This window comes from Homo sapiens, chromosome 2 (assembly GCF_000001405.40).
Source record: "Homo sapiens chromosome 2, GRCh38.p14 Primary Assembly".
Classification (NCBI taxonomy): domain Eukaryota; kingdom Metazoa; phylum Chordata; class Mammalia; order Primates; family Hominidae; genus Homo; species Homo sapiens.
In genome coordinates, this window is record NC_000002.12 from 86,836,661 (window position 1) to 86,858,846 (window position 22,186).

At 47.8% G+C, this 22,186-nt stretch overlaps 1 protein-coding gene across 6 annotated transcripts in view, besides 3 other annotated features; it reads right to left on the reverse strand.

The window, feature by feature from the left end:
• CD8B (CD8 subunit beta) overlaps window positions 1–22,186 on the reverse strand; it is a 46,518-nt gene that overhangs the window by 21,292 nt on the left and 3,040 nt on the right. For 2 of the 6 annotated variants that reach the window (NM_172213.5, NM_172101.5), the window contains exons 2-5: window positions 21,397–21,756; window positions 16,337–16,426; window positions 10,024–10,113; window positions 8,262–8,298 (exon numbers count right to left, since the gene is read on the reverse strand). In NM_172213.5, the coding sequence (NP_757362.1) occupies window positions 8,262–8,298; window positions 10,024–10,113; window positions 16,337–16,426; window positions 21,397–21,756 (577 nt within the window). Of the gene's footprint in view, window positions 1–1,506; window positions 5,718–8,261; window positions 8,299–10,023; window positions 10,114–16,336; window positions 16,427–21,396; window positions 21,757–22,186 lie in introns of those variants that run through there. The other 4 variants (NM_004931.5, XM_011533164.3, NM_172102.5 and 1 more) reach the window with 4 other exon arrangements.
• Window positions 3,002–3,558: an enhancer, noted in NCBI's record as "H3K4me1 hESC enhancer chr2:87066785-87067341 (GRCh37/hg19 assembly coordinates)". NCBI's record gives its function as "activates a minimal SCP1, AML or CMV promoter by ChIP-STARR-seq in primed H9 embryonic stem cells {active_cell/tissue: H9 hESC(primed)}" and the evidence as "EXISTENCE:reporter gene assay evidence [ECO:0000049][PMID:30033119]".
• Window positions 19,416–19,917: an enhancer, noted in NCBI's record as "H3K4me1 hESC enhancer chr2:87083199-87083700 (GRCh37/hg19 assembly coordinates)". NCBI's record gives its function as "activates a minimal SCP1, AML or CMV promoter by ChIP-STARR-seq in naive H9 embryonic stem cells {active_cell/tissue: H9 hESC(naive)}" and the evidence as "EXISTENCE:reporter gene assay evidence [ECO:0000049][PMID:30033119]".
• Window positions 19,918–20,417: an enhancer, noted in NCBI's record as "H3K4me1 hESC enhancer chr2:87083701-87084200 (GRCh37/hg19 assembly coordinates)". NCBI's record gives its function as "activates a minimal SCP1, AML or CMV promoter by ChIP-STARR-seq in naive H9 embryonic stem cells {active_cell/tissue: H9 hESC(naive)}" and the evidence as "EXISTENCE:reporter gene assay evidence [ECO:0000049][PMID:30033119]".

Sequence of the window (22,186 nt, forward strand, 5' to 3'; positions counted from 1 at the left end):
ACCTGTAGTCCCAGCTACTTGCTTGAGTCAGGGAGGTCAAGGCTGCAGTGAGCCATGATGGCGCCACTGCACACTAGCCTGGGCAACAGAGCACTGTACACACACACGCACACCCCCAAGGAAGAGGAGAATTGAGTGCAGAGTTGTGGGTATTAGTTCAGTCATAAATGGGGACAGGAGTGGAAATGGTCTACAATTAAAAATGCATGAAAAGGCCAGGTGCTGTGGCTCATTCCTGTAATCCCAGGACTTTGGGAGGCCGAGATGGATGGATTGCTTGAGCCCAGGAGTTCAAGACCAGCCTGGGTGACATGGGGAAACCCCATCTCTACCAGAAATATAAAAAATTAGCCAGGTGTGGTAGTGCATGCCCATAGTCCCAGAAACTCAGGAGGCTGAGGTGCAAGGATCGCTTGAGCCTGGGAGACAGAGCCTGCAGTGAGCTATAAGTGCGCCACTACACTCCACCCTGGGTGACAGAGCAACACCCTGTCTCAAACAACAACAAAATTATGTAGAAGAATGGACATGGTTTCCTTTCAAATTTAGAAGTCTAAGCAAAGCTCTTAAAAGGGTACTCGCTTGTGAAAGGCAGTAAACTAATGGGAAAAGCAGGATCCAGGAGAGCCAACAGTACTGTGGAGGTTGTAAGTGTCTTTTTCAGCGCCTCTGCTTTCAGCTTTACAGGAATCACACGTGTCGTGCATATTTCTGTGAATCTCAAACCGACGCAGGGCTGGGGAATATGGTTTCCTTCTGTTTGAGTTATGTAACTGGGAGGACTCCAGGAACCAGTGACTCACAGTTCCCCGGGAGTGTCAGTGACGCATCGAAGGAGGTTTCCCAAGAAGCGACAGAGGAAATATCTTTTGGAAGGCCTCTGAAGACAGGGCTCTTTCTGTCTTTCCCTTTGACTGGGTGGTAGATTCGGATCAGCTTTGCAGCCCACGCGGGGTCGGGGATCACTTTCTGAAAACAAGTTGCCCACTTCCTACAGGTAGAGACACAAGCTGCGGGGCGGGGGTGGGGATGAGTAAGGATGAAAGGGAGGGGGTGGTGTAGGACCCCCCTTCTTCTTTTGAACAGGCCGGGGTGGGCTCCACACCTGCAGGCTACTTCCCACTGAAAGGAAGGGGGCGGGGGGAGGGGGGAACACCAGTGCTGCTCCCAGACCCATTAAGGTCCACAGAAAAACACAGAAAAGGAAGTACTATAGATGTTCTCCTTCAGGGCAGAGAACCCAGGCTCACCTAAGGTTGCTGGAGTGCAGCCCACCCCTGCCACGAGCCCAGCCCCATGTGAACTTCCAGACAAGTAAATGCAATTGCAAATGTAGCTCGCCCAAAGTCTACAGCTGGTAAAGACCCAGGCTGTGCTGTCTGGCCACCTCGGACCTGCCTCACCGTGATTTCCATGGTTCAGATTTTTTTAATTTATGAATAAATCTTTCGTTTGTGGATATTTTTATTGATTCCAATTTCTTATTATAACAATGGCCAGAGGTTCTTTTTTTCCAAACTTTTAATTGCTTTTTCCCCAACTACAAAAGTAATACATGATGTAAAAATTCACACAAGGAACTGTACAAAGCAGAAGTGGAAATTCCGCAGAGTAACTGCAATTAACAGCTGAAAGTAAATCCTTACAGACCTTTTCCTGTACATATACAAACAAATATACCCGGAGGCCTTGATTTATTATTAGAGAAAAAAGATCAAATCTGCAGAACAATATTAGAAGATGTAATTTTCTATATTCTCTATTTTATGTATTATATTCTCAAGATTTCAATTTTATGTTTTAAAAAATATGGGAAGAAAAAAAAACAAGAAACTTTTTAGAAAAAATTTATTTTTGAGACAAGGTCTGTCTGTGTTGCCCAGGCTGGAGTGCAGTGGCGTGATCACAGCTCACTGCAGTCTGAAACTCCTGGGGTCAGGAGATCCTCCCACCTCATCCTCCCTAATAGCTGGGACTACAGGCAAGCACCACCATGCCCAGAAAAAAATTTAAAAATTTTTTGTAGAGTCGAGGTCTTGCTATGTTGCCTAGGCTGCTCTCAAACTCCTGAGCTCAAGTGATCATTCTGTGTGGGCCTCCCAAAGTACTGGGATTACAGGCGTGAGCTGTAATCCCATGTGCTTGCTGAAGAAACTTCCAAATACCAATTTTACACATTTCTACAATGTTCTGTACTTGGATTTTAAAAAGTCTCTTTCTTGAAGTATAATTTACATCTATATCCATAGCTCTAAAGTCAACATATCTGAGTGTACAGCTTGATGACTTTTACTAATGAAACACACTCATATAAGTGATTCCCAGATTGAGAAGCAGAAATGCTCACCTTCAAACCTCATGCTCCCTCCTAATGACCACCACTGGACCAAGGGTAACTGTATCCTAACTTCTAACAACATATATTTGTTTTGCTTGTTTTCTTTTGTGCTTGAATTTTAACAGTGACTACATATTGTGCCATATATTGTATTAAGAATAATCTATACAGATGTTTTAAAAATATATGCATTTGTCATAACCATCATTTGATATCAGCATATATGGATCTAGCTCATTCCTTAGCAGCCGCCTAAACCCCCTTATTAGACTGTGTCTGAATTTATCTGACCAGTCCCTTTTGATGGACATTTGGATTATTTCCCATTTTTAGCTAGTAAGCAACACTAGAAGGAACAATCTGATGCGTATTTCTTTGTGCATGCCACTTTTTGATGTATTTCTTTCAGATAAATGCCAACAAGTGGAATTGCTAGTCAAAAGATAGCTGGATGGAGTTTGGGGGGCATATTTCATCATAATGGCCCTATAGAGTGTAGTAGCAGCTCAGCTCCTTCTTCAAACAAAGGTCAGGTGCTGGGTGCAGACCTTCTCACCGCAGCCCCCACCATTGGCAGCCCAGCCTGCTCCAGCTCCCTGGGCAGCCGGAGCTGAGCCCGCCTCGGCAGGTGCCTGCTGCACAGAAAACTGACAGAGGAGCGCAAACCACCCCTGCCCCCAGCCCAACCCCATGAGAACTTGTGAACAAGTACATGCAATTGCAAAGACAGCAGCAGGGAGACGGTCAAATTTCAAAGCCTGCAGTGGGACAAGAGGCCTTGTGGCCTGTTCTTACTTCCGCTGTGCACTGGGTGTGAGCCTTCAAGGAGGGCAGACCATGTGCACTGCAGGCCTTAATCTCTTATTTGTTTGTGATGGGCCGGGTGAGGGGCCCACCTGAAACACGAACCCTAGAGGAGTCTGGTCCAGCTGACCCCAATTCTTTCACCCCTCCCCTCAGCCTTGGAAGGCAGCCTGTCCCTTGTCCTCAGAGCTGATGGGCAGAGCTTTTGTTTCTTTTGAACACCTCTTGCTGAGGCAGGAGTCTAGGGTCTGGGGGCAGGGAATCTAAGGCCAATTCGTGCTGAATCAAGGAGAAACATCTATGTCCGGGGGCAGGGAATCTGAGGCCAATTTGTGCTGACTTCTCAAAGCTGGATCAAATGGAAAACACCTGGGTCTGGGGGCAGGGCATCTAAGGCCAATTCGTGCTGAATGAAGGAGAAACACCTACGTCTGGGGGCAGGGAATCTGAGGCCAATTTGTGCTGACTTCTCAAAGCTGGAGCAAACGGAAAACACCTGGGTCTGGGGGCAGGGCATCTAAGGCCAATTAACATACACCAAAAGGAAAAACCCCATCTCCCCACACTGAGTAACCAAGGATCAAAGGCTACTCTCCCTACAACCCTCCCCCTTCCACTGCATCTCAGATGGAAAGGGAGACGGCCCTGGATTGACCACAGACCAAGCACGGGCCATCCCTTCATCCGCATAGGGCGTCAATTCACCTCAGCCTTTCATTAGCCATGGACCAAATCCTTCACCCAGATAAGGGGTAGCCAACAGGTACCTCAAAAGGGGTACTTAAAACCCAGAAAACTTTGCAATTGGGCCCATGGGCTATCTGCTTAGGGTCCACTCCTACCATGTGGAGTGCTTTCTCACTTCAATAAATTCTTCCTTTTGCTGCTTTTATTCCTTTATTACTTTGTATGTTTTGTTCAGTTCTTTGTTCAAAATGCCAAGGACCTGGACAACTTACACTCAAGGCCCTCCTTCCGGTAACACTGCATCTATGCCTTTCTAACTCCACCCACCACACCTCATTCTGCTGCGGCCGCACCCCAGATGCCAGGAGAAGGTCACACTGCCCCTTCCCCAGAGTCGTCTTTCCTTTCCTGTTTTTTTTGTAACATTTCTTACATTCTGTGGTTGTCACAGGTAACTGAACATAACCTGATTTGTCAATGTCCTTCTTTGAGCTGGCCAGGAAAAGCAGGTGAGGCTGGATTCTCCCTGGACCTGGACGTGGTGCTTCTGTTAATGCAGCCTCAGGTTGCAGTGTTTTATGGTGCAATAGCTCCTAGGCTGCTAAAGCTCAGGTAGGGGCGGCTAAGATGGGTCTCAGGCACTTTTTCAAACCCAGGCACGAGGTCCTGCTCTTCACTCTCCACTCCTGCTCAGCACTTTCTCCTTGCTTTTTCCTTCTCCAACTGTCAAGGCTAAGAATCAATAAGAAAATGAAGAGACATGTGACAGAACCCCTCATGCCTCCTACCTTCTGTTTGGTGCCTGACTTGAAGCCAGGGATCCCTGCGGTTCAACCCGCGGTAGAAATGAACACGTGCTAGTTCAGCTTGGGAGTGGGCTGGGAGAGGGGCCTGAGGCACCTGCAGCCTGGCTCTGGGTGCCCTGGGCGCTTCCTAGCCTCTCTAGGACTCTCCACACCTACAACGTCGGGCAAATGAGGATCTCAGGTGCAAAAGGAGGATGTACAAATTTTCTCCTTCTGGTTTCTGTTCCACGGAGCACTGATGTCTTTGCTGTAGATGGGCTTTCGCACGTTTATGTCACAGGAGCCGTTTGTTATCTTTAACCTGGGACTTTATTTGTACAACTAAGACATTTGTATAAAACAAACAGAAAATGAAAGAAGCATTAAGCCATGGGAGAGTAGAAATGGGAGCTGAGAAACTTAAGAGTAGAAATGGGAGCTGAGAAGATGAAGTGAACTCCTATCCTCAAACCCGCAAGTTCCCGGCCCCAAAGGAAGCCCTCAGAGACTGATATGCCTTCTGGGAACTGGACAGCCCCTCTCAGCAAGCCTCATTCCCAACCTGCACCTGGCCTCTCTGCGAGGAAGGTCAGCCCCAGCCTGGGAAGACCAAGAGGGAGCCAGCCCAGCATCACCCCATGAAAGACCCAGGACCCAATGTTACTGCCCTACCAGGGCAAAGCAACCTGCAAAGATGGTGGCTAAATGGCCACCACTAAAGGTCCCAGTTCAGGGAAAGCACAGGAGCCGGAAGCGGTGGCATGGGCAGCATTTCTTACTCAGTCCTCCAGCACACTCTGTGAAGTGCCCTGGGGGCAATGAAACCTTCTCCCTAGTATTCCCGATGACCCACGAACAAGTTGCTCCCATGCACATCACACACAGAAAGGCCTTGCAGCAGTGAAAAGCAGGCAGCTTCAGCAGCCATTGAACTCTCCAGGGTTGAATGTGTCCCTTCTCTCATTTTTCCACATCGTGCTCGTTACTGACCGATGTCTTTTTGTAGCAGGACACCAAAACCGTATTCTCTGCTCATTTGTAAAATCTGAAAACAACAGCAAGTTGTGAAACCACTTATTTTCAGGCAAACGATATTGAATTTCCTGTAACAGAGACAAATGGCAAATGAGAATGCAGAGTTCTACTCCAAGTAGCCTGGGGCCGAGAGTTTTTTGTTAGTATGTTTCTAGGGCCCATCTTAGTCATTAAAAAGATTGTTAAGGCTAAAAAACAAAACAAAACAAAACTGCAGCTCAAAGAACGGTAGCTTTGAATTGGGTTACTTCCTGTAGTACCTCTAAGATAATCTAAGAGAATCACAAATTTATATCAAGGGGCCAGAAGAAATTAGCCTGCAGATGGGATGATTTTCTAAGGACAGTTAGAGGCTGGGGAACAACTACCTCAAATCGCAACTCAGATCTGTGAGCACCACAGGCTATTTCCTCCATGCCTGGATCATGAGAGCAAAACCAGAGGTGGTTTTCAAGCTTTTTTGAAGCCACAAACCCTTTTGTTCAAATGACATGTTACAGGTAAGTGTAAACCCAGACAATAGAAGAGAGTACGTCTGTTCAAAATGAAGAGAGTGAGGAGGTCTCAGGGTCCCCCCACGACCACCCAGAGCCCCTTCCCTGCCTCAAGCTGATCCTGGGCTTGCAAAAGCATGAGGTCCTGCATCCAGCCTCCCCAAAACTGGCATCAGATCACTGGGGAGCAAGTTAAAATGAAGGGGTGGGGACAGACCCAGACCACAGTTAGTACCAGAGAGGGACTTACTTTCCATGAAAGGTCATCATGGGAGACATTTTGAAAGGAACTTTCTTTTTTTTTTTGAGACAGAGTTTCACTCTTGTTGCCCAGGCTGCAGCGGAATGGTGTGATCTCTGCTCATTGCAACCTCTGCCTCCGGGGTTCAAGTGATTCTCTTACCTCAGCCTCTCGAGTAGCTGGGATTACATAGGCGCCTGCCACCACGTCCAGTTAATTTTTTGTATTTTTAGTAGAGATGGGGTTTCACCATGTTGGCCAGGCTGGTCTCAAACTCCTGACCTCAGGCGATCTACCTGCCTTGGGCCTCCCAAAGTGCTGGGATTACAGGCTTGAGCCACTGCACCCGGCCTTGAATGGAACTTTCTAGAGGTCTGGCCTGAGACAGCTACACTCAAGTTATTATCTCTTGGGTAGGGGGCAGCTTCTAAATCCAACACACAAGGTGAAAATTGTACACAATTAAAATATCATTGAAAATTGCCCATAAAATCCAGCAGGCATGTTTAAGCCACTCTCGATATAAATATAATGTGTACAACAATGCAGAGCATATAGTAATATGAATTTATATGGCTATTTACAATTTTAGAGTATTCAAAAATACATTTTGTTTGTCCATTGCTGCACTTGCAGAGTGGAATTTACTGAAGTGACTTGAGCTTGTGCTCTGACTCCGGGGTCCTGGGGCCACATGCTTTAAGGATAATACCCCAGTGAGTCCTCACACTGACTGTGAGATTGGCACTGTTAGCTCATTTAACAGACGAGAAATCCGAGACTTGGAGACGTGAAGTGACTTGCTGGCTGTCACATGGTGATTGGCAGACGGGATTCAAACCCAGCCCTGTCTCCACCTAAAGCTGGAGCTTTTGAGCAGGAGAACCTGTTGCCCTCTTCAATTTAGAGTTGTGTACTTTTGCTCCCCCAAACATTTCTGTATAGAGGGGGTTGTTCTAAGGATCAAATGTAATTAACTGGATAGGCAGATGTGAAACAGTCTCTGTTGTGAGGAACAAAAATCAAATGCAGGAATGCTGCCCTGGCCCAGGATGGCTTCCAACAGCCTCATGAAAGACCCAGGACCTAATGTCACTGCCCTACCAGGGCAAAGCAACTTGCAAAGGTGGTGACTAAATGGCCACCACTAAAGGTCCCAGCCCAGCCCAGGGTAAGTACAGGCTCTTTCTCAGCTTAGTGGGCCCCAAGAGTGCTATGTGACTCTGTCAACTCCTGGGACCCAGATGGGGTCGAGGGCAGCAGGTGGGACAAAGGCAGCTCCTAGGGAAGGAAAGCAATGGCTGGTAGAAGAGGCTGGTCTTCAAATCCGATTCCAGTAGTCTCTCCACTGATCTGTCAAATGAGGGTGATAACCCCTTATCTCACACAGTACCAAGGGGATGAAATAATAGGTGGGATGAAATAACGGATGGGATGAGTTTGGGATACTCTGCGGTATTCTGTGCATGCAAAGCCTGATTGCTCTCCTCAGGAGAGCTAAGAATGTTCTTGAAATACATTTAACTTACTGGTCAGGTTTTTGTTTGTTTAGGTTATCTCTTAGGTTCCTGAACTCTATCACCCCATCTATTTATACAGTCTGTAATTTTTTTTTTTAGATGGAGTCTCACTCTGTTGCCCAGGCTGGAGTGCAGTGGTACCATCATAGCTCACTGCAGCCTTGAACTCCTGGGCTCAAGTGATCCTCCTGCTTCAGCCTCCCGAGTAGCTGTGACTACAGGTGTGCACTACTATGCCCGGCCGAGTCTATGATCTTTGGAAGATGAGGTCTGACTTTGGCTCCTCGCTGCAGTTAGAGGCTGCAAGCTGCAGCAGGGGCTGAGGAACCCAAGGCCACACCCAGGTTATACACTTACTGTTTCATGAAACGAAGCCGGGCTCTCCTCCGCCGGCCTGGAAGAGGAAAGCAAGGGCGCCAGTCAGTGTGGGCTGTGGGTCACTGCGCTGAGCCCCAGAGGCCAAGGAGGATTGTCACAGGGGCAGCTGACACCTCAGCCCACCTCCCTGGTCCCAGACCCTGGCCCAAACACTTTACACATTTTAATCCCCTTAATGCTCACTGAAAACCTGAGTTGGATACTACTTTTAAGATCTCCATTTTATATGTGGGAAACTGAGACACAGAGTGAGTGAATTACTGGATAACATGCCCAAAGTCATGCAGCTAGTAAGTGGGAAAGCCAGAATTCAAACTCAATTAGTCAGCTGCAGAGTCTGTGTCCTTAAACACACCTGCTTGCCCTTCACAGCAGGTCAGACATGAAAGGTCCCAGAGACAGGCAGTCTCAGGCTAGGGCAATTGCATTCAGAGGGTGAGCGAGATTTCCCACTGGGAGTTAGGAAGAAAATAAAAGCATGTCTATTGACATTTGTATTTCAGCCTTTATTACTTTTGATTTTCATTTATTTTTTTAGGAATGGGGTCTTATTATGTTGTCTAGGCTAGACTTGAACTCCTGGGCTCAAGTGATCCTCCCTCCTCAGCCTCTCGAGTACGGGCACTTGCCACTACACCCAACTTACTTTTCATTTTGAAGCACATTTAATAACATACATAAAATATTAAATAAGTAAATACAGCCAACTGCTGCATTTACTTTATAATATTCAATTAGCTGTATTCGCTTATTTAATATTTTATGCATGTTATTAAATGTGTTTCAAAATATTTTACCAATGAGTTCCTTCCTTGATCGAGAGAGTTTGCAAACCACTGAAATTTATGGGTTTCTTAGAATGGGGTACATGGGCCCCTCTGTGGGGAACAATTGTAGGCAAAAGTATGCTCCTGGGTGCATTTCTGTGGGGAGAGGTCCGTTATTTTCATCGTATGTTCAAAGGGGTCTGTGACCTACAAAAGTTAAGAGCCACTGATCTAGTTCATGCCCTTGCTGTCCCACCTGCCCATTTCATAGATGCGCAGAGAGGGGAAGGGGCTTGCTCGAGGTGGCACAGGTGAGCAGAAGAACCGGGGTAGAGTCTGGGCTCTGGGCTCTAGGGCAGCCATGCAGGCCTCCCCTCTGGCTCCCCGTCTTTCTTGTGAACCCAGTGCTGTGCAGAGCTTGGGGTGGGGGCCATAGAAGGAGACAGTCCCGTCTCTGGGGTGGCTGGGAGCAGCAGTCATTTCTGTTTCCCACAGCCTCATCAATATCGGTGTCGTGGAGAGGATTTCTAGCTTCTAGGAACACAACACAAACCCCATAGGCAAACTTTTCTGGACACTGGGCTTTGGTCTCAACTGCTCACGTGAGTTCCCACTCACTGACACGTGCCGGGTGCCAGGCATTTGGGGTAGGAATTTACAAACAGCAACTCTGGGAGGTAGCTAATGTCCTACCCCCATCTGAGGCAGCCGAGGCTCAGAGAGACCGGGGCACTGGATCAGGAAACAGCCACGTTGCACTCAAACCCAGGTTTGCCTGACTCCAGGGACAGGGTAGTCTTTGGTTTTGGCTGCGTAGCCCCAGGCCAAGAACTACCTCTGGAAATACCGTAGGTTCTCTGAGGCAAATTCCCACCAGGCTGCCATCTGCTCTGCTCCCCTAGAGAAGAAAATATCCCAGGGACACTTCAAACAGCAAACAGGGACACCCAACAACCCAAGAGGAGACAACTCACAGCACAGGTGGATGGCCACTCCCAGGGAAACCAGCAGAACCAGGACGCCAGCCACCAGCAGGCCAAGGGTGATGGGGCTACAAAGTGGGCCTGGAAAACACACATGTGACATGTGTTCAACACGGAACATTTTTCTGCATGAGACACGCAGAAAAATACAAGGAGCGAAAAATTCAACTGGAAGCCCCACCTCCCAGAGAATACCACCATTTGTATTTCGATGTAATGTATTTTTCCTCAAGTATTTTTTTTTTTTTTTTTTTTTTTTTTTTGAGACAGAGTCTTGCTCTGTCACCCAGGCCGGAGTGCAGTGGTGCATTCTCAGCTTACTGCAACTTCCGCCTCCTGGGTTCAAGGGATTCTCGTTCTTAGCCTCCCGAGTAGCTGGGACTACAGGCATGTGCCACCATGCCTGGCTAATTTTTGTATCTTTAGTAGAGAGAGGGTTTTATCATGTTGGCCAGGCTGGTCTCAAACTCCTGGCCTCAAGCAATCCGCCCACCTTGGCCTCCCAAAGTGCTGGGATTACAGGCCTGAGCCACCATGTCCGGCCATCGTCTAGTCTTTGTAAGCACTTTAAACATTATTGAAATCATTTTATTATAAAATTTCATGTCCCACATTCAAATTTTTAAGAAGTAGACAATTTTCATGCCTGGTAATGAGTCTTTTACTATTTATTTTTAAAACTTTTAATTTCACAAGAAATAGCTGAATATATTTTCATTGTAAGACATTTAAATATAGGATTAGAGTGCTCCCTGACATCTTTGCTCCTTCACAGAATTAATCACCACTGATAATTTAGTAACTTTCTCTTTCCATGCCTATGTAATTTTTATATATACATATAGGGTTTGTTCGTTTGTTTGTTTGTTTTGACACAGAGTCTCGCTCTGTCACACACAGTCTCGCTCTGTCGCCCAGGCTGGAGTGCAGTGGCGCAATCTTGGCTCACTGCAACCTCCGCCTTCTGGGTTCAAGCGATTCTCCTGCCTCAGCCTCTCAAGTAGCTGGGATTACAGGCGTCCGCCGTCATGCCTGGCTAATTTTTGTATTTTTAGTAGAGACGGGGTTTCACCACGTTGGCCAGGATGGTCTCAATCTCCTGGCCTCAAGTGATCCACCCGCCTCAGCCTCCCAAAGTGCTGGGATTACAGGTGTGAGCTACCGCAACTGGCCTTAAATACATATAGTTTTAAAAAATATATAGAGTGGATTATACTGTACAAATTGTTCTTTTGTACCTTTATTTTTTCAACGTGCCTTTTTTCCTTCACTTAGTCAATGTGTTCTTTCTTCCAGCAGAGTAACATCTGACAGCATGGATGTACCATGAGTTACTTGTCATCAGTGGGCCTTTTGATTGTTTCCTGTGTTTTACTTTTACAAATAACTCTGCAGAAAACAACCTGTATATTTCCTTACAAAGGCACCTTCCTGAGGTAAATACTGAGAACGGGAACTACTAAACCACAGACTTTGCCCATTTTAAATTGTGACAGATGCTGTCAAATGCCTCCCTAAAAGGCGGCACTGACTTCCGTCCCCACCCACCAATAGTGCACCTTGCTGACCCTTGATATCATCAAAATGTTTTAGTTTTTGCCAGTCAAGTGGGGAAAAATGTTATTTCACTTAAATTCCCTAATTTCTTATAAGCTTTGGCCTATTTTCATATATTGGGAACTTGTATGATTTTTCTTCTACGAGTTGACTATCTGTTCCTTTGTCCATTTTGTGTGCTATTTAAACAGCAGACTTTACACTATCAATGTCCCAAATCCTCCTCTGACACCCTTCAGGCCCCTGTGGCTGGTCCCTTGAGTAGCTGAGGGGCAGAGCAGGGCCCATGGGTGAAAGGGCAAGGCTGCAGATTTGGGCTTGAGGTTCGGAAAATTGGAAAGCATTGTGGATGTCAAGGAAGAGAGAGAATTTTTACTGAATACATATGTGCTAAGTACATACTAAATGCAAACTCCCATCTTGTGAGGAAGAAAGGTATTGGTATTTTTAAATTATTTATTTATTTATTTATTTATTTATTTTTGAGACGGAGTTTTGCTGTTGTTGCCCAGGCTGGAGTGCAATGGCAAGATCTGGACTCACCGCAACCTCTGCCTCCTGGGTTCAAGCGATTCTCCTTTCTCAGCCTCCTTAGTAGCTGGGATTACAGGCATCTGTCACCACACCTGGCTGATTTTTGTGTTTTTAGTAGAGATGGGTTTTCACCATGTTGGCCAGGCTGGTCTCGAGCTCCTGACCTTATGTGATCCACCTGCCTTGGCCTCCCAAAGTGCTGGGATTACAGGTGTGAGCCACCGTGCCTGGCTTGCCATTATTTTTACCTCTCATTTCACAGTTCAAAAAACAAAAACAACAAGATTCAAAGAGGTTAAATTATATAACCAAGGTCACCCAGCTACTAAAAGGCAGGACCAGGGTGTGGACACAGATCCTCCGAGTTCCAAGCCCCTGTGGGTCCCACCTCAGCTGCATGAGGGCATGAGAGGTACAGGAGGGAAGGGAGTGGGCTGCTACATGGGTGGCAGCCCACTGTCACTAGAGGGGAACAAGCCAAGGCTGGATGGCTGGGGTGTGGAGAGGAGATTCATACACGGACAGGGAGGCTGGATGAGGGGCCCCTCTGAGATGCTGAGGGCATCTGCTGGGCTCCCTCTCACCTCCTATTTGTTCTCCCAACCTGGATGAACCTCAAAACATGGTGCTAAGTGAAAGAAGCCAAGCATGAAAGACCCCATGGTGTGTGATTCCACTTCTATGAGATGCCCTGGGGAGGCAAATCTGCAGAGGTAGACGGTAGATTAGTGGCTGCCAGGGGCTGGGAACAGAGATGAGCTGTGAACAAGCACAGGGAATCTTACTGGGGTGATGGAAACCTTCTAAAACTAGATTACGGTAACGGTCGCCCAACTTGGTAAATTTACCCAAAATCATTGAATTTGTATGCTTAAAATGGGTGAACTTTGCGGTATGCAAATTATATCTCAACTAAGGTGTTTTTTTTTTTTTTTTTTGAGACAGGGTCTTGCTCTGTCGCCCAGGCTGGAGTGCAATGGCGTGATCTCGGCTCACCACAACCTCCGCCTCCTGGGTTCAAGCGATTCTCCTTCCTCAGCCTCCTAAGTCGTTGGGATTACAGGTGCCCACCACAATGCCCAGCTAATTTTTGTATTTTTAGTGGAGACGGGGTTTCGCCATGTTGATCAGGCTGGTCTCGAACTCCTGACCTCAGGTTATCCACCAGCTTTGGCCTCCCAAAGTGCTGGGATTATAGGTGTGAGCCACCATGCCTAGCTCAACTAAGTTTTTAAAAACTGTAATGGAGGTGGGTGCAGGTCACAGGGATGTACAGGGCGGCACGGCTCCTTCCTGAGGAGAGGTCATGGTTAAGACCACTGTGGAGGCCAGCAATGTAGCTACAGGTCTCCTCTGGAGCACTGTCTCCCATCCAAAATTTGACTCTCCGGGAAAAGCTGCTGCTGCAAATAACGTGCTTGGGTAAGGGGCCATTTGCCAGAGCCACACCAACGACACCCCCAGCCCAGCCTTCCTCATCTTACCGGGGCCTCAGGGTCTCCTGAGCTCTGGATCTGCACTCTGCTCCTGAGTCTATGGTTTAGAAATGGTCCCCCAGCACCTAAGGGTGTTGTCTTAGGAACAGACCTAAGCCTCAAGGGGCAGTGCCTTCTCAGTGACCCCATGGGTTTCATTCATGATAACAGGCTTTGAGGTCTGTGTGGACGCCCCACAAGCTCTGAGTGCCTGGTGTATAATAGCATCTCATTTAGCCCTGCATCCCCCATTTTACAGACAAGGAAACTGAGGTTCATAGAGGCTGAATCACCTATTCAGTGTCTCATAGTACAGGCAGTGGTAGACAGAGATTCAGACCTAGGCCTGACTGACTTGCCACTAGGCTACACTGACCCAGGGCCACTCTCCTCAGTGTAACCTCCACCTACTTTCCCCACACCCATCCCCAGCCTTACTCCACTAGGTCACCTTCACACACATCCGGGTTATTCTTAATAACCTATTAATGTTTGGTTTGCATTTTGCCCTGGGAATTTACTGAGGGTTAGTACAAGAAATGATGCAAGAGGCCAGGCGTAGTGGCTCACGCCTGTAATCCCAGCACTTTGGGAGGCCAAGGCAGGTGGATCACCTGAAGTCAGGAGCTCAAGACCAGCTTGGCCAACATGGTGAAACCCTGCCTCTACTAAAAATATAAAAATTAGCCAAGCGTGGTGGTGGGCACCTGTAATCCCAGCTACTCTGGAGGCTGAGGCAGGAGAATCACTTGAACCTGGGAGGCGGAGGTTGCAATGAGCTGAGATCACGCCACTGCACTCCAGCCTGGGCAACACAGTGAGACTCCATTTCAAAAAAAAAAAAAAAGAAAGAAAGAAAAGAAATTATGCAAGAAATCTGAAGACCTTTGTTTTTGCCATCATTTATAAAAGTATGACTGAGTTTGCCGTCATTCAGCTGTCCTTACATGAAGATGAATGGGCAGATTGCTTCTCGAATTTAGTGCTAGGATGAAGGTTTCTTCTTTTGGTGGCAGGTTGTTTCTTTCTATCACTGGGGTTGGGGTGCCATACAACTTGGGGTCTTCCCTTTGTTTAAACTGATGTTGCCGGGTTCTCCACAGCCGTAGCACACAACCGGTTCTTGCGCCCTCATCTTAGTGGCTCTATTGTATTTGCCTTTTATATCCTTTTTATGGTAGTCTGCCTGAAATCGTTTAGGTGAAGGGGTCAGGGCATGGGACTTTATAAAATAAGGTTACTCTTAAGCTCCTTAAGACTTTACTCTTCTGTACATTGGTTCTGATTTTCTTTTTACTGTGACCTCATGTGACGGCAGCTTCCCACCCTGGTCTCCCAGATCCTATTCAGTGCCGTCCTCAATAATTTCTGGTGCTTAAAATATTTAAGACAAAGCAAACTGAGCAGTGCGAGGCAGTGCTCCAGGGGCTGCTTGTGGTTTGTTTTCTGGGTAGCAGCAGATGGCACTTTCTGTTTGTCACCAGTGACTTTTGCTGGGCTGAGGTCAGTATTTTTCCAGAAACACGTTTGGGCTGATGGGTTTAAGGAAAACGTGTGCATGGGCATGTGTGTCTGTGTGTGTGTGTATGTGGCATACACTCCAGCTGAGGTGTCTGGTGTAGCATAGAGAAGCAAATGTGTTCATTTGCAAACAAACATGTATTCATGAACTAGCACATACTGTGTATTAGGTCCTCTGTTAGGTATTAAAACTGGAAACTTTTTTTTGAGACAGGGTCTGGCTCTATCACCCAGGCTGGAGTGCAGTGGCAGGATCTCAGCTCACTTCAATCTCCACCTCCCAGGCTCAAGGCATCCACCTCAGCCTCCTGAGTAGCTGGGACTACAGGCATGTGCCACCACGCCCAGCTAATTTTTTTACATTTTCGTAGAGACAGAGTTTCACCGTGTTGCCCAGGCTGGTCTCTAACTCCTGAGCTCAAGGCGATCCACCCATCTGGGCCTCCCAAAGTGCTGGGATTACAGGTGTGAGCCACCACATCTGGCCAAAACTGGAAAAGTTTAAAGTGCTGGTCCTTTGAGTGGATTTTTTGTTTGTTAACAGCTTTATTGAGTTATAATTTACGTATAAAGTCCCCTTGTTTAAAGTGTACAATGTCATGGTTTTTAGTGTATTCATGGAGTTGTGCAACCATTATCATAATGTAATTTCAGAACATTTAAATTCCCCTAAAAAGAAACCTTATACCCATTAGGAATCACTCCCCATTTCTTTCCCAAGCCCCCAGCCTTAGGCAGCAACCAATCTACATTCTGTCTCTACAGAGGATCATATGCTGGATATTCCATAATCATGGAATCATATAGTATATGGATTTTTGTGACTGGCTCCTTTCATTTTATTCTTTATTATGGCCAAACAATATTCCACGATAATAAATAAGCCACATTTTGTTAATCAGCTCATTAGCTGGTGGATGTTTGGGTAGTTTCTGCTTTTGGCTAGTATGAATAATGAAGCTATGGACATTTGTGTGCAGGGGTGTGGGTGGAGATCTCCTCCATTAAGCTTTGTCCAGTAACAATTTATGAGTCTGTCTCCCACGAGACTGTGAGTTGCTGGCACACTCAGCATCCTTTCTGACCCTAGCTTAGGCCGGGGAGATAGGCTCTAGAGTTGACACTTGGAAAGTGCCTGGGGAAGGAAGGAGGGGAGGGAGGGAGGGCAAGGGGATGTCTGCCTTGTTTCTGAGGGTGCAGAGGGATAGGGAACTCACCCTTCTGGGTCTCTGGCCTGGGTAACCGGCACACTCTCTTCTTGAGGGTGGACTTCTTGGTGGGCTGGGCAGTGGTGGGAAGGAAATCAACTACAGAAAGAAAGCAAGACACATATCTTAGCCAAGTGAACACCACGTGGACTCAAAGACAAAACTTTGTCTTATGGCGGGTGCGGTGGCTCATGCCTGGAATCCCAACACTTCCGGAGGCCAAGGCAGGAGATCATTTGAGCTCAGGAGGTTGAGACCAGCCTGGGCAACATGGTGAAACCCCCTCTCTACAAAAAATAAAAAGTTTAGCCAGGCGTGGTGGCATATGCCTACAGTCCCAGCTACCCAGGAGGCTGAGGTGAGAGGATCACCTGAGCTTGGGAAGTCAAGGCTGAAGTGAGCCATGATCATGCAACTGCACTCTGGCCTGGACGACAGAGCAAGACCCTGTCTCAAGAGCAAATAAATGAACAAATGAACAAAATTTGTCTTACATCCAAGTACTGAAGTCCTTATGACTGTTCCCCAGGCTGCTACAGGGCTTGAAGGTCACAGAGCAATAGAATGTTTGATCTGCTTTCTGAATTCTCAGATGTTGGGAAAGGGGTGAGGGCCTAGAGATGGGGTTCAGCTTGGTGTCCTGGAGAGAGGAAGGCTCTGGAGCCACACAGAACTGAGCAGAGCCTACACCTCTGATTTATTTATTTTTATTTATTTATTTATTTATTTATTTTTTGAGACAAAGTCTCGCTCTGTAGCCCAGGCTGGAGGGCAGTGGCACGATCTCGGCTCACTGCAACCTTTGCCTCCCAGGTTCAAGCAATTATCCTGCCTCAGCCTCCAGAGTAGCTGGGATTACAGGCACGTACCACTGCATTCGTCGTGCCACTGCATTCGTCGTGCCACTGCATTCGTCTAATTTTTTGTATTTTTAGTAGAGACGGGGTTTCACCATGTTGGCCAGGCTGGTCTTGAACTCCTGATCTCAGGTAATCCACTCACCTCGGCCTCCAAAAGTGCTAGTATTACAGGTACGAGCCACCGCACCCGGCCGACCTACACCCCTGATTAACCGCTGTGTGACTTGGGACAAGTCATAGCATTTTTCTGTGCCTTGATTTCCTTATCTGCTGAAATAATGATAACTGCCACCTCCTTCTTGGGATTATCTGAGAATGAAAGGGACAGTGTGTCCAAAAAAAGTTTCAGTAGATGTGGCTCCACCTGGCTGAAGACCTTGAGCCCCAGGGCTGGATCGCCCAGCCTTTGGCACAACGAGCCCCTCCGCCCAACTCGGCATTCCCTAAGCACATGGAGGAAGCTCATGGAAGGAGGGGGTGCCCTTTTCTGCATGTAGAGTACCACACAGGTGTCATATTTGGGGATTGGTTTTCCTTCTCAGATGGCCCTAAAATATATATATAATACCAGAGCTAAGGGAAGTTCAGTCTCAAACTTTAATTTCAAAGGTGAACGCCAGAGATGAGGGGAGCTGGCCCCTGCAGCCCCAAGTGGTGAGTGCTGTGTTGGGACCCCAAACCCCTGTCCTGACTCCTGGATGGGTCACCCCTCTCCTTCATTTTTACCCAGTGACCCCTGCTGAAGTGTTGGGAGGGGCAGTGGGCCAGCACCCAGAGCAAAGGAAGACAGCTGTGGCTCTGATGCCTACTGGGGATGAAGGGGGCACTGCTGGCCACAGAGTCCAACCCTTGCCTTTGTGGGTTAAGGAAACAGATCTCTCTGCACTGATTTTCTCCAAAATGGTAGGAGAGGGAGTAAGGAGACACCATGAACCTAAACTCTAGAGTCAGGGGGACAGAAAAAAAAAAAAGAAAAGAAAAGAAATATTAAGGCTGGGCGCGGTGACTCACGCCTGTAATCCCAGCACTTTGGGAGGCCGAGGCAGGCAGATCACCTGAGGTCAGGAGTCCAAGACCAGCCTGGCCAACATGGCAAAACCCTGTGCCTACTAAAAATACAAAAATTAGTTGGGCGTGGTGGCACGTGCCTGTAATCCCAGCTACTCAGGAGGCTGAGGCAGCAGAGTCGTTTGAACCTGTGAGGCAGAGGTTGCAGTCAGCCAAGATCCTGCCACTAAACTCCAGCCTGGGTGACAGTGACTCCGTCTCAAAAAAAAAAAAGGTTTTGGGGGGTTGTAAGGGGGAACAGGCAGGGGAAGCCCACAGATCAGTCATTTTTGGGCTGGCATCTTCTATATAAAAGTAGACATTTTAACCCCTCACCTCTCTGAGCCTCCTCTGGAAAGCGGAGAGAACACGATCTGTTTGTCTGCTTCAAGACATTGATGGGAAGAAGCAACTAGGATGAAAGTGCACTAAGCTCCAACCATGTGTGGGGAGCAGTGCTGAGCCTTTCAGCATAAGTTTACTGGACACAACAACTTTTGGGGCAGGCACTGTTGTCCCCATTTTATCCAGGAGGAAGCCTAGGCTCAGAGAGCTGAAATAATGTGTCCAAAGTTAGACAGCCACTGGCTGCAGAGCCAGTATCTGCACCAAAAGACCTTGATTCTAGAACCTGTGCTTCTCGTTCTGCCACACTACCTCACGTGCAAAGATTTTCTGACAAAAGTTGAACACTTTAGGTCCACCCAAGGCCCTGGGTCATCATAGTGCTGAGGGCAACTATTGTAAGAGGAAACTGTCATCAGCAGGGTCGGAGAGCGTGCAACGAGCCTGGCCCTCTCCTGGGAGTGTTGCCTCCTTCAATCCTCATGGCCCTAGAAGTAGTTCTGTTTGACTTATTTTCTACCCGAGGAAGCAGGGACGTCTTTCAGATGGTCAGTGGTGAGCCCAGAGGGGAGCCAACTCTTTGGGCCCTCAGTGCCTTGGCTGGGCACCGCCGCCTGGGTCTAGTGGGAGACTCAGGTTGGGGGACTGTTCTGTTTTAAATTCTTCTTGCCTAGAGCCAGGTCCCCCTGGATTCCTCCTGAGCACCCAGTTTAATCTCTCCCTCTCTGTTCTTAAAAGGAATAAAACTTCGAGCCCATGATATACTTAAGGGCCTGAAAAAGGCCCTGTCTTTCCCCAAACACTTTCTCAACCATCCCAGCTTTGTCCTCTAAAAGGCCTTTCTTGGGTGAGAAGGTGGGGTTCGGCTCCGAAGAAGGTCTGGTTGCAAGCCCTGGGGAGAAGCAGGTTTGGCTGCAAGCCAGAGCTGGAGAGAGGCATTGACATTCCTATAGTGCTGGGAGGGGTTTGGGGTTTGGAAACACGGAAGTCAGGAGTGAGTGCGGTTGGGATGGAGGCGGTGGGAAGCTCTGGAAACTAGCTGTGTTTATTGTACCCTCCACCTTCTCAGACTCTGAAATCTCATGAGTGGAAAGGTGTGGGGCTTACAGAGACAAAAACAATAAGCTAAAGCCAAACCCCAAACCCCAAACCCCAAACTCCCAAAGTCCATTTTTCAATACGAAAATCAGTGGACCCCCACGTGAAGGGATGCCTCAGCTTCTTGCCTGCAATACACCCTCCCAGGCTAGCAAGAGGTGGCGGGGCATCACTTTGGTTTGTGTCTTCCTAATTGTGCTGCTGTCCCCAGCTGCCCCTGCACTTCCTCACGCTGAGTGGTCTAATTTCTGGGTCCCCTTGTGGCTTTTAGTGCCCTCAAGTGAGCAGGAAGCAGGGCAGTGGGAGCCCTGGAGGGGGTTGGCTCCAGCCTTGGGCCAAGCTGGAGGTGGGGCTAGAGCCAGAGCCAGGCTGTGAGAGTTACCACCCATAACTAAATGCCTTCTGTCCAATATGCCACAGGTGCTGCTGAGCACATGAAATGTGGCCAGTCTGAATCGAGATGAGCCATATGTTTTATGTAAAATGCTCATCGAACACTTAGTATGAAAAATGAATGTAAAATATTTCAGCAATACTTTTTATATTGATTACATGTTGAGATGAAAATATAGTTAATAAATTGAGTTAAATATAACATTATTTAAATTAATTTTACTTGCTTCTTTTTGCTTTTTTAAACAAGACTTTAAAAATTTAGAATTTCATCTGTGGCTTGAAATGTGCGTCTGCTGGACTTGCTGACTTAAGTCAGAGGTCTGCAGCTTCTCTGGGATTAAGTGGGTCATGGAGGCCATCAGCACCCCCGTGTGACACAGAAGAGAACACTGAGGCCCAGGGGAGAAAGCATGGCAAGTTTGCAAGCAGAGCTGGGCCTGGCTCAGTCTCCTTACTAACTTCGACTCAGGTATGAATTCGAGCTGTAGGCCCTCACAGAGAACATAAGGGCACCTGCCCCTAGAAATGCCCTCACTGGGTATATCAGGGCAGTGAGGGCCTCCTTTCCCTGTGTGCACACTCTGGGGATTTCTAACACCACTATAAGGCCAAGGGGCTCAGCCCAATCCAGCCGTAGCTTTGAATGTCCCTGATGTGGCCTGAAGGACAGCACTGCCCTGTCCCCATAAGAAGAATAATGCCTGGCCAGGCATGGTGGCTCACGCCTGTAATCCTAGCGCTTTGGGAGGCTAAGGTGGGTGGATCACTTGAGGTCAGGAGTTCAAGACCCACCTGGCCAACATGGTGAAATCTCGTCTCCACTAAAAATACAAAAAATTAGCCAGGTGTGGTGGCTCATGCCTGTAATCCCAGCTACTCGGGAAGCTGAGGCAGGAGAATCACTTGAACCCGGGAAGCAGAGGCTGCAGTGAGCCAAGATCGCACCACTGCACCCCAGCCTGGGCAACACAGTGAGGCTCTGTCTCAAAAAAAATAATAATAATAAATAAATAAAAAAGAGAAGCACAATGCTCATCTCTGACTCTGGCCCGTCTCTTCTAGTTTCATCTTATTCCCACCTAAAGTGGTTAGGTAATAGACCTACCTTCCAGGGTGGTTGGCAGCATTAAGCAAGCTAACTATGTAAACACTTGGAGGGGCTTGGCCTGGGTAAGTCTCCACATGTTCTTTCTGTTACTATTAGCAGCAGTGCCATTAGTCACGGCTGCAGAGTGGGGCACACTGAAGCCTGGTGGTCCCAGTGCCTGGCACGTGCCTGGCACACAATCGGTGCTCACTGATAGCATTGAGCCTGCTTCTTACCCACACTCAGCTGAGTTCCCTTCCCGAAGGTCAGCTCGGGGCTCCCGACGATCATGCAGAAGTAGATGCCACTGTCTTCCGGCTTCACGCTTGTGAGATTGAGAATGAACCGGCTTGCATCCCGAAACACAGCTATCTTCTCCTGTTCCACCTCTTCACCGTGGATAGTCCCTTTTGCGGAATCCCAGAGGGCCAGGAACTCGTGGTGACTGTCACTGCTCGGTGCCTGGCGCTGTCTCAGCCAGTAGATGCGCATGTTACTGAGGGAGATTTTAGCCTCGCAGGACAGCATCACCATCTTGTTGGTTTGCACCTTTATGTATGCAGGGGTCTGCTGGAGGACTGAGTTGCCATGGAGAACTAGGAAAAGCCAAGAACAGAGACATCACACATTTTCCTAGCCACAGCTGTGGGACCTTGCAGTCACACTGAGTCAAGTGTCAAAGGAAAAGCCATGGAAGGACCTGCCCAGTTACTGGGTCCAGGGAGTGTGTTGAGCGCAGCTGTTGGCTCCTGGACTCAGAGTTCACATACCCCACCTCCCAGGAGATCATCTGGAAGGGAGGTGTTTGCTAAGTTCAGCTTTACAAAGGTACAGGGGAGAGAGCTGCCATTTGTTTATTGTGTACTTATATGCCTGGCCCTTGCATAAAGGAACTCAATCAAGCCTCAAACTGGCTTTGGAATTTTTTAAAAGACATGGGGTCTTGTTATGTTGCCCAGGTTGGAGTGGAGTGGCTACTCACAGGCACTATCATAGTACACTTCAGCCTTGACCTCCTGGGCTCAA